This window comes from Homo sapiens, chromosome 18 (assembly GCF_000001405.40).
Source record: "Homo sapiens chromosome 18, GRCh38.p14 Primary Assembly".
NCBI lineage: Eukaryota > Metazoa > Chordata > Mammalia > Primates > Hominidae > Homo > Homo sapiens.
The window spans coordinates 56,412,563-56,423,591 of record NC_000018.10 but is presented as its reverse complement, the minus strand read 5'-3'; the positions used below and the strand labels follow the sequence as shown (position 1 = coordinate 56,423,591).

The 11,029-nt window shown below is 44.9% G+C and overlaps 2 annotated features.

Moving 5' to 3' along the window:
• Positions 2,140–2,866: an enhancer, noted in NCBI's record as "OCT4-NANOG-H3K27ac hESC enhancer chr18:54087957-54088683 (GRCh37/hg19 assembly coordinates)". NCBI's record gives its function as "activates a minimal SCP1, AML or CMV promoter by ChIP-STARR-seq in naive H9 embryonic stem cells {active_cell/tissue: H9 hESC(naive)}" and the evidence as "EXISTENCE:reporter gene assay evidence [ECO:0000049][PMID:30033119]".
• Positions 9,329–9,878: an enhancer, noted in NCBI's record as "NANOG-H3K4me1 hESC enhancer chr18:54080945-54081494 (GRCh37/hg19 assembly coordinates)". NCBI's record gives its function as "activates a minimal SCP1, AML or CMV promoter by ChIP-STARR-seq in naive and primed H9 embryonic stem cells {active_cell/tissue: H9 hESC(naive and primed)}" and the evidence as "EXISTENCE:reporter gene assay evidence [ECO:0000049][PMID:30033119]".

Here is an 11,029-nt window from a genome sequence, read left to right as displayed (position 1 = left end):
TTGATCTTTCCCCTCCATTTCTTTGGATTATTACTTCATCCAGTCTCATTCTCTTCAAAATATAGTATGAAGTAATTCATTTTAATGGAGTGATTGACTTCCTCATACTCTCATCCAAACGCAGAACAAATCTGCAACCTGGGTGAACAGTGGTCTTGGGGTCTGGGGTGCTAGCCACCCCTGGGAACCCTCAGATTGCCCAAGACCTCTCAGAAAAATGTACCCACCTCAACCATTCCCATTAATTCATCACACTCAGTACCTCACAAAGGTTACCCCCATTTAATTCATGCAGTGGCTTTATATCAAGTTTTTAGCCAGCGAGACTAACCAATGGAGAAGTTTACTAACTTTCCCAAAGCTCAAAGAGAACCAGAGGCAGAACTGGGATTTGAACCTAAAAATATCTGACTCCGAATTCTACATTCTCCACTTTCTCTAAGGATGCTTTAAAAACAGTATCAAATCTCAACTTCTGGCAAATTTAGGTCATGCTCGACTAATTTATCCCTAGGAATTTTTATGCTGTGAGTTTGATATTACATGTAAGAAAATAAGAAACCATTCATTAAAGATGATGGATAAAAATAAATGCAACAGAATCACCTACACATTTTTCTCTTATATTGCCAACTGCTTTTAAGTGTTCTGTTGAATACCAGAAAAGTGTCAAGGAGTCATAGATACAGCACAGAAGGTCTTCACTTCATTTGCTTCATCCTTGAAAAAAGAGTAAATTGTAATAGAACAACTCAGATTAGTTTTCTGGTTTCTGTCTTTTATAAGAAAATTCATTTTGATTTTCACGGCCCAAAATATAACATAAAGTACTTCATCTACTAACCAACATCTACTCAGTTATTCCTATGGACTCCAGTTGAAATTATGTCCAAATGCTTCCATGAAAGAACCATCTTCTTGATTTGTATTTTATGTTAATGGGAATGGTAATGGAGACTGTAAAATCCATTTATTTTAATGTTATCTTAGACTATGAGTAATGATTAAGTAGAAAATCCTCACCTTCAAAAGCATGTACATGATAAAGGTTTTTCTTTCTTAAAAGTAAAGAGAGAGAAAGAGAGAAACAAACCTCAACCCCCACATACCCAAATCTTCTCTAAGACACACATGGAATCTTTTAAATTACATTTGTATCAAATTAACTTGGGTGGTCTGAGAGTCATCAGGCATGCAGAAAAGGGTTCTCTTAAAAAGCTAATTTAAGAAAGTTGTTAGGGCATTGACAATAGAAGCAACCTGTTCCCTTGTTGTCAATGTGTTTTCTTTTAGGGAAATTTGCTTTTTCCTGCCCATGCTGAAAATATCTACGTCTCTCCAAGAGCTCAGCCTTAACATCTTCATGGGTGGCTCCAAGTGGCTGCCATTTTTACCATGTGCAGAGTGACAGCTTCTCCTTATGCTTTTTCAAATAATATAATGATTAAAATATTGTTGGGTAGACTCATATGTGTGCATTTAAGTCAACAGCACTCAAAACTTACCAACTTTTTTGTAGCCAAATAATATTTCAGCAATTCAATTATTCTTTAGAAAATGAACAACTCTGGAAAATTTTGTTTATTGCATTGCTCTCTAAAATATCCAAGGGATGGTGCTGCACTATGAAACCATAAACAGCAGGGGTAGATTGTGAATGCTGAGCTGCTGTTAAAGGAAGGAATGAGAAAACAGAGGGCAGCGTGGGAATAGGATTGATGAAATGCATATTTGTACAGGACTATCATGACTCAACTGGGGAGCCACCTGTATTGCCTCCGGAAATGATAATGATGCTGATCTCAGCTAGAATTTATATAAAGGCTTATTAAAACAAGACAAAACAAAACTCATAATGTATGGTATGCCTCTTCTCAGGACAAATTTCAAAGGTTTTGGGAAAGGTCTGTGAGACCAAAGAATGGATGCTTGATTCCATCTAGTTCATATTCAAATTGTTCATCCAGGTGAAGTGTTGGACTTTGTACCATTTTATCCCTTAATAAATATATATTGAATACTTACCATAGTAAGTATTTAGTTGTAGATATTGCACCCAGTGCTGGAAATCCCATCAGCCTGTATTGGCTGCTAGCAATATGTGTCACTTCAAAAATCTGTAATTAGGGAAAGGAGTTGTTTGTTATAAATATCCAACACTCGTTCAATAATGACTTGGTGCTAGGCACTGTTCTAAGTGCTTGACTTCTGCTAAACTCATTTAATCTCATAATTTTAAGAAGTATAATTTCATGCACGTCCGTGTGAAGAGACCACCAAACAGGCTTTGTGTGAGCAATAAAGCTTTTAATCACCTGGGTGCAGGTGGGCTGAGTCCGAAAAGAGAGTCAGTGAAGGGAGATGGGGTGGGGCTGTTTTATAGGATTTGGGTAGGTAAAGGAAAATTACAGTCAAAGGGGGGTTGTTCTCTGGCGGGCAGGAGTGGGGATCGCAAGGTGCTCAGTGGGTGTGCTTTTTGAGCCAGGATGAGCCAGGAAAAGGACTTTCACAAGGTAATGTCATCACTTAAGGCAAGGCCCAGCCATTTACACTTCTTTTATGGTGGAATGTCATCAGTTAAGGTGGGGCAAGGCATATGCACTTCTTTTGTGATTCTTCAGTTACTTCAGGCCATCTGGGCGTATACGTGCAAGTCACAGGGGATGCCATGGCTTGGCTTGGGCTCAGAGGCCTGACATTCCTGCCTTCTTATATTAATAAGGAAAATAAAACAAAATAGTGTTGAAGTGTTGGGGCGGCGAAAATTTTTGAGGGGTGGTATGGAGAGAGAATGGGCGATGTTTCTCAGGGCTGCTTCAAGCGGGATTAGGGGCAGCGTGGGAACCTAGAGTGGGAGAGATTAAGCTGAAGGGAGGTCTTGCGGTAAGGGGTGATATTGTGGGGATGTTAGAAGAAACATTTGTCATATAGAATGATTGATGATGGCCTAGATACGGTTTTGGATAAATTGAGAAACTAAATGGAATAACAGAAGGAGAAAAACAGGTATAAAAGGTCTAAGAATTAGGACGACTCAGGATATCTGATTAGAGAGTGCCTAAGGAGATTCAGCATAGTCCTGCCAGCAAAGATTATTTATTTACTTCAAGAGTTAAGAATGGCAGTTTGGGGCTAGCACCAGGAGATATCAGCTGTGATGGCTTGGAAAAACAGTGTAAACTGGCAGCGTAAACAAGAGCAGAGCATGTGTGAGTAGTTGAGAACAGTGAATAGGAGTATGACTAGACAGAAGATAGTAGGGATGACAAGTTTTTTGGGGCACAGTCTAAGTTGGTCTGGTGTCTGGAATGAGACTGGGGCCTAATAAAAAGGAGCGTCTATACAGGAGCTTAAATGGGCTGTACTCTGTAACATTCCAAGGACAGGCCTGAATTCTGAGAAGGGAAAGTGGTAAAAGTATTGTCCAGTCCTTTTTAAGTTGGTGGCTGAGCTTGGTGAGGTGTGTTTTTAAAAGACCTTTAGTCCATTCTACTTTTCTTGAAGACGGAGGACTATAAGGGATATAAAGGTTTCACTGAATACTAAGAGCCTGAAAAACTGCTTGGCTGATTTGACTAATAAAGGCTCGTCTGTTATCAGACTGTATTGAGGTGGGAAGGCTAAACTGAGGAATTATGTCTGACAGAAGGGAAGAAATGACTGTGGTGTCCTTCTCAGACCCTGTAGGAAAGGCCTCTACCTATCCAGTGAAAGTATCTACCTAGACTAAGAGGTATTTTAGTTATCTAACTCAGGGCATGTTGAGTAAAGCTAATTTGCCAGTCCTGGGTGGGGCAAATCCTCGAGCTTGATGTGTAGGGAAGGGAGGGGGCCTGAATAATCCCTGAGGAGTAGTAGAATAGCAGATGGAACACTGAGAAGTTATTTCCTTGAGGATAGATTTCCACAATGGAAAGGAAATGAGAGGTTCTAAGAGGCAGGCTAGTGGCTTGTACTATAGCATAGCCTGCCTTTGCTGGTGTGTGGCAATTAGGCCTGGTGGAACTGCCATCAATAAATCAAGCGTGATCAGGGTGAGGAACAGGAAAGAAGGAAATTTGGGGAAATGGGGTGAATGTCAGGTGGATCAGAGAGATACAGTCATGGGGGTCAGGTGTGGTATCAGGAATAATGTGGGAGGCTGGATTGAAGTCTGGGCCAGGAACAACGGTAATTGGGAGACTCAACAAAGAGTGAGTATAGCTGAAGGAGCCGGGAAGCAGAAAGTATATGCGTCAGGTATGAGGAAGAAAATAGATTTTGGAAGTTATGAGAACTGTAGAGAGTGAGTTGAGCATAGTTTGTGATTTTGAGGGCCTCTAAAAGTATTAAAGCAGTGGCAGCCGCTGCACACAGACATGAGGGCTAGGCTAAAACAGTAAGATCAAGTTGTTTGGACAGAAAGGCTACAGGGTGTGGTCCTGGCTCTTGTGTAAGAATTCTGACCGCGCTAACCATGCCTAGGAAGGAAAGGAGTTGTTGTTTTGTAGAAGGTGCTTGGGTTTGAGAGATCAGTCGGACACGATTGGCAGGGAGAGCACGTGTGTTTTTATGAGAATTATGCCGAGATAGGTAACCGATGAGGAAGAAATTTGGGCTTGATTGAAGTAATGGGGGCTGTCTGTGAAGCTTTGCAGCAGTACGGCCTAGGTAATTTGCTGAGCTTGATGGGTGTCAGGGTCAGTCCAAGTGAAAGCGAAGAGAGGCTGGGATTAAGGGTGCAAAGTAATAGTAAAGAAAGCATGTTTGAGATCTAGAACAGAATAATGAGTTGTAGAGGCAGATATTGAGGATAGGAGAGTATATGGGTTTGGCACCATGGGGTGGATAGGCAAAACAATTTGGTTGATAAGGTGCAGATCCTGAACTAACTTGTAAGGCTTGTCTGGTTTTAGGACAGGTAAAATGGGGGAATTGTAAGGAGAGTTTATAGGCTTTAAAAGGCCATGCTGTAGCAGGCGAGTGATAACAGGCTTTAATCTTTTTAAAGCGTGCTGCGGGATGGGATATTGGCGTTGAGTGGGGTAAGGGTGATTAGGTTTTAATGAGATGGTAAGGGGTGCATGATCGGTTGCCAAGGAGGGAGTAGAGGTATCTTATACTTGTGGGTTAAGGTTGGGGGATACAAGAGGAGGACGCAACGGAGGCTTTGGATTGGGAAGAAGGGCAGCAATGAGATATAGCTGTAGTCCAGGAATAGTCAGGGAAGCAGATAATTTAGTTAAAGTGTCTCAGCCTAATAAGGGAACTGGGCAGGTGGGGATAACTAAAAGGAGTGCTTAAAAGAGTATTGTCTAAGATGGCACCAGAGTTGGGGAGTTTTAAGAGGTTTAGAAGCCTGGCCGTCAATACCCACAACAGTTATGGAGGCAAGGGAAACAGGCCCTTGAAAAGAAGGTAATGTGGAGTGGGTAGCCTCTGTATTGATTAAGAAGGGGATGGGCTTACCTTCCACTGTGAGAGTTACCCGAAGCTCAGCATCCGTGATGGTCTAGGGGGCTTCCGAGGCGATCAGGCAGTGTCGGTCTTCAGCCGCTAAGCTGAGAAGATCTAGGAAGGAGTCAGTCAGAGAGCCTTGGGCCAGAGTCCCAGGGGCTCTGGGAGTGGCTGCCAGGTGAGTTGAACAGTCCGATTTTCAGTGGGGTCCCACACAGATGGGATGCAGCTTAGGAGGAATCCCGGGCTGCGGGCATTCCTTGGCCCAGTGGCCAGATTTCCGGCACATGTAGCAAGCTCCTGTGGGAGGAGGTTCTGGAGGAACGCCTGGCCGCTGCAGTTCAGGCATTTGGAAGTTCTTGTGTGCTGGAGATGTGGCTGGGGTTTGTCTCACAGTGGAGGCAAGGAATTGCAACTTTTTGCTATTATTGTACACCTTGAAGGCGAGGTTAATTAAATCCTGTTGTGGGGTTTGAGGGCCGGAATTTAATTTTTGGAGTTTTATTTAATGTCAGGAGCAGATTGGGTAATAAAATGTATTTTGAGAATAAGACGGCCTTTTGACCTTTTAGGGTCTAGGGCTGTAAAGCGTCTCAGGGTTGCTGCTGAACGAGCCATGAACTGGGCTGGGTTTTTATATTTGATAAAAAAGAGCCTAAACGCTTCTGATTTGGGATAAAGAAAAAGGAGCATTAACCTTGACTATGCCTTTGGCTCTAGCCACCTTTTTAAGAGTAAATTGCTGGGCAGGTTGGGGAGGGCTAGTCACAGAACGAAACTGTAAGCCGGACCAGGTGTGAGGAGGGGAGGCAATAAAAAGATTACAGGGTGGAGGAGCAGAGGCTGAGGAAGAATTGGGACCTAGCTTGGCCTGGTGAGGAGGGGAGAGGTCAGATGGGTCTGTAGAAAAGGAAGATTGGAAAGACTGAGTGATGCTTGGGGTTGGGACTGAGGGGACAGGCAGGAGGGAAAGAAGGAAGATTTGGGATGAGTTGCACTGGGCACAGAGACTAGGAAGGGACTGATGTGTAAAAGAATGCCTGGACGTCAGGCACCTCAGACCATTTGCCCCTTTTACGACAAGAATTATTTAGATCTTGTAGGATGGAAAAATTGAAAGTGCCATTTTCCAGCTATTTGGAACTACTGTCAAGTTTGTATTGGGGTCAAGCAGCATTGCAGAAGAAAATAAGATGCTTAGATTTTAGGTCAGGTGAGAGTTGAAGAGGTTTTAAGTTCTTAAGAATATAGGCTAAGGGAGAAGAAGGAGGAATGGAAGGTGGAAGCTTGCCCATAGTGAAGGAGGCAAGCCCAGAGAAAAGAGTAGAGACACGGAGAAGGGGTAGGGGTTTCTTGCCCTCCAGAACAGCAGAGAAAGGGTTGGAGCATGGAAATAAGGAATTGGGGCACAGAGACAAGAGGTTGGGGTGCGGAAATGAGGGATTGGGGTGCAGAGATACGAGGTTGGGGTACTTGCCCCTCCTCTAGAAAAGCGGGACTTGCCACTAAGAGTGAAGGAGAAGGGATTGAGGGGTACTTGCCCCTCCCCCAGAAAAGCGGGACTTGCCGCTAAGGGTGAAGGAGAAAGGGTTGAGGGGTACTTGCCCCTCCTCCAGAAAAGCGGGACTTGCCGCTAAGGGTGAAGGAGAAGGGGTTGAGGGGTAATTGCCCCTCCCCTAGAAAAGCAGAGAAGGGGTAGAGACAAGGAGAGAAGGGGTTGGGGTACTTGCCCCTTCCCCAGAAAAGCAGACAAGGGGTAGAGACAAGGAGAGAAGGGGTTAGGGTACTTGCCCCTTCCCCAGAAAAGCGGGACTTGCCACTAAGGGTGAAGGACCAAGGCAGGCGTCCCTGTGTGGTCTGACACCTTTGAAACGTGGGTGAATAATCAGAGAGGCATCCCTGCAATGATTAAACACCAAGGGAAGGCTGCCTTCCCAGTCCGTGACCGGTGCCAGAGTTTTGGGTCCACGGATAAAACGTGTCTCCTTTGTCTCTACCAGAAAATGAAAGGAATTGAAATTAAGAGAAGGGAGAGTTTGAAGTGTGGCGCCAAGATTGAAAGGAGAAAGAGGTTGAGGGATAGTGAGGGAGGTTGGAGAGGAGAGTAAAAAAGAGGCCTCTAACCGGATTTGAAGTTGATGAGGTGTTTCTTGGGCTGGTCAGTCTGAGGACCTGAGGTCGTAGGTGGATCTTTCTCACGGAGCAAAGAGCAGGAGGACGGGGGATTGATCTCCCAAGGGAGGTCCCCCGATCCAAGTCACGGCACCAAATTTCATGCGTGTCCGTGTGAAGAGACCACCAACCAGGCTTTGTGTGAGCAATAAAGCTTTTAATCACCTGGGTGCAGGTGGGCTGAGTCTGAAAAGAGAGTCAGTGAAGGGAGATGGGGTGGGGCTGTTTTATAGGATTTGGGTAGGTAAAGGAAAATTGCAGTCAAAGGGGGGTTGTTCTCTGGCAGGCAGGAGTGGGTGTCGCAAGGTGCTCAGTGGGGGTGCTTTTTGAGCCAGGATGAGCCAGGAAAAGGACTTTCACAAGGTAATGTCATCACTTAAGGCAAGGCCCGGCCATTTCTACTTCTTTTATGGTGGAATGTCATCAGTTAAGGTGGGGCAAGGCATATGCACTTCTTTTGTGATTCTTCAGTTACTTCAGGCCATCTGGGCGTATACGTGCAAGTCACAGGGGATGCGATGGCTTGGCTTGGCCTCAGAGGCCTGACATATAATAATAACCCTATCATTATTTCCATTTTTACAGATGAGAAAACTGAGGCACAGAAAGATTAATTAACTTATCCATTTTATTAGTCTATTCTCATGCTGCTAAAAAGAACTGCCTGAGACTAGATAAATTATAAAGGAAAGAGGTTTAAATGACTCACAGCTCTTCAGGGCTGGGAAGGCCTCAGGAAACCTATAGTCATGGCAGAAGGGGAAGCAACATGTCCTTCTTCACATGGTGGAAGGAAGGAGAAGAATGAGAGCCAAGTGAAGGGGGAAGTTCCTTCTAAAACCATCAGATCTCATGAGAACTTATTAACTATCATGAGAATAGCATGGGGGAACTGCCCCCATAATTCAGTTACCTTCCACCAGGTCCCTCATACAACATGTGGGGATTATGGAAACTACAACTGAAGATGAGATTTGGGTGGGGATACAGCCAAATCATATCATTTCACCCTGTCTCCTCCCAAATCTCATTCCTCACATTTCAAACACAATCATGCCTTTCCAACAGTCCCCCAAAATCTTAGTTCATTTGAGCATTAACCTAAAAGTCCAAATCCAAAGTCTCATCTGAGACAAGGCAAGTCTCTTCTGCCTATGAGCCTGTAAAATCAAAAGCAAGTTAGTTACTTCGTAAGTATGATGGAGGTACAGGTATTGGGTAAATACACTCATTCCAAATAAGAGAAATTGGCCAAAACAAAGGAGCTACAGGCCTCATGCAAGTCTGAAATCCAACTAGGCAGTAATTAAATCTTAAAGCTCTGAAATCTCCTTTGACTTCATGTCTCACATGCAGGTCACACTGATGCAAGAGATGGGATTTCACAGTCTTGGGCAGCTCTGCCCCGCGCCCCTGTGGCTTTGCAGGGTACAACCCCTCTCCAGCCTGCTTTCATGAGCTGGTGTTGAGTGCCTGCAGTTTTTCAGGCACATGGGTGCAAGCTGTCAGTGGATCTACCATTCTGGGGTCTGCAGGACTATGGCCTCTCATTGCTTCACTAGGCAGTGCCCCACTGGGGACTCTATGTGGGGGCTCTGACCCCACATTTCCCTTCCACACTGCCCTAGCAGAGGTTCTCCATGAGGGCCCCACCCCTGCAGCAAATGTCTGCCTTGATATTCAGGCATTTCCATACATCCTCTGAACTAGGCAGAGGTTTCCAAACCTCAGTTCCTGACTTCTGTGCATCCACAGGCCCAACACAATGTGGAAGATGCCAAGGTTTGGGGCTTGCACCCTCTGAATCCATGGCCGGAGCTGTGCCTTGGCGCCTGTTAGCCACAGCTGGAGTGGCTGGGACACAGGGCACCAAGTCCCTAGGTTGCACACAGCAGGGGAGCCCTGGCCCCAGCCCACAAAACCGTTTTTTTCTTCTTAGGCCTGGGAGGGGCTGCTTTGAAGGTCTCTGACATGCCCTGGAGACATTTTCCCTATTGTTTTGGTGAATAACATTCAGCTCCTCTTTACTTATGCAAATTTCTGCAATGGGGTTGAATTTCTCCCCAGAAAAATGGGTTTTTCTTTTCTATTGCATTGCCAGGCTGCAAATTTTCCAAACTTTTATGCTCTGCTTCCTCTTGAACGCTTTGCTGCGTTCAAGATAATTCTAAATTATCTCTCTCAAGTTCAAAATTCCACAGATCCCTAGGCAGGGACAGAATGTGTCCAGTCTCTTTGATAAAGCATAGCAAGATTCACCTTTGCTCCAGTTTCCAACAAGTTCCTCATGTCCATCTGAGACCCCCTCAGCCTGGACTTCATTGTCCATATCACTATCAGCATTTTAGTCAAAGCCATTCAACAAGTGTCTAGGAAGTTCCAGACTTTCCCACACCTTTCTGTCTTCTGAGCCTTTCAAGTCTCTAGAAAGTTCCAAACTTTCCCACATTTTCCTGTCTTCTGAGCCCTCCAAACTCTTCCAGCCTCTGCCTGTTGCCCAGTTTCAAAGTCACTTCCATGTTTTTCAGTATCCTTTTAGCAGTGCCCCACTCCCTCTGTATCAATTTACTGTATTAGTCTGTTGTCACATTGCTATAAAGAACTGCCCATGACTGGGTAATTTATAAAGAAAAGAGGTTAAATTGACTCACAGTTCTTCAGGGCTGGGGAGGCCTCAGGAAACTTACAATCATTGCGGAAGGGAAAGCAAACAAGTCCTTCTTTACATGGCAGGAGGAAGGAGAAGAATGAGAGCCAAGTGAAGGGGGAAGCCCCTTCTAAAACCATCAGATCTCTTGAGAACTTACTCACTATCATGAGAATAGCATGGAGGAAACCACCCCCCTGATTCAATCACCTCCCACTGGGTCTCTCCCATGACACATGGGGATGTTGGGAACTACAGTTCAAGATGAGATTTGTGTGGGGAGACAGCCACCATGGTCACTTTGTAAGTGGCAGGACTGGGGCTTGAACCTGCACAGTTTGTCTCCATTGTCTGTGCTCAAGGGCAAACCTCCTCCATTACTTGGGTTCAAAGATTGATGAATGGGATCTCAATGGTGTCCTGATTCTTTGGCTACTCCTCAGGATGAGAGGTCAGGCTAACCTGGCTTCTCTGTAGTGTTCCTTAAGGAGGCTACTGTTCAGATTGGGGCTGGCTCTTCATAAGCTCTGTCTCAGTTAGGGCAGGTGTATCAGTTACCTGAGACTGCTAGTTCAAATACAAATCCTGCCCAACTTCTGATTCCCTGCCTGCTGGGTGAGGCCTGAGAATGATGAGGGGTTCCTGATGGCTCATGCAGGGGATCAGCAGTCCACATTGGAGAACTGATAACATTTTAAAGACAAGTTCCAAAAGCCTGAATGCCTTACAAGTGCCTTCCATTAGGTTTCCTAAGGGGCATCTTTCAGCGTGTAC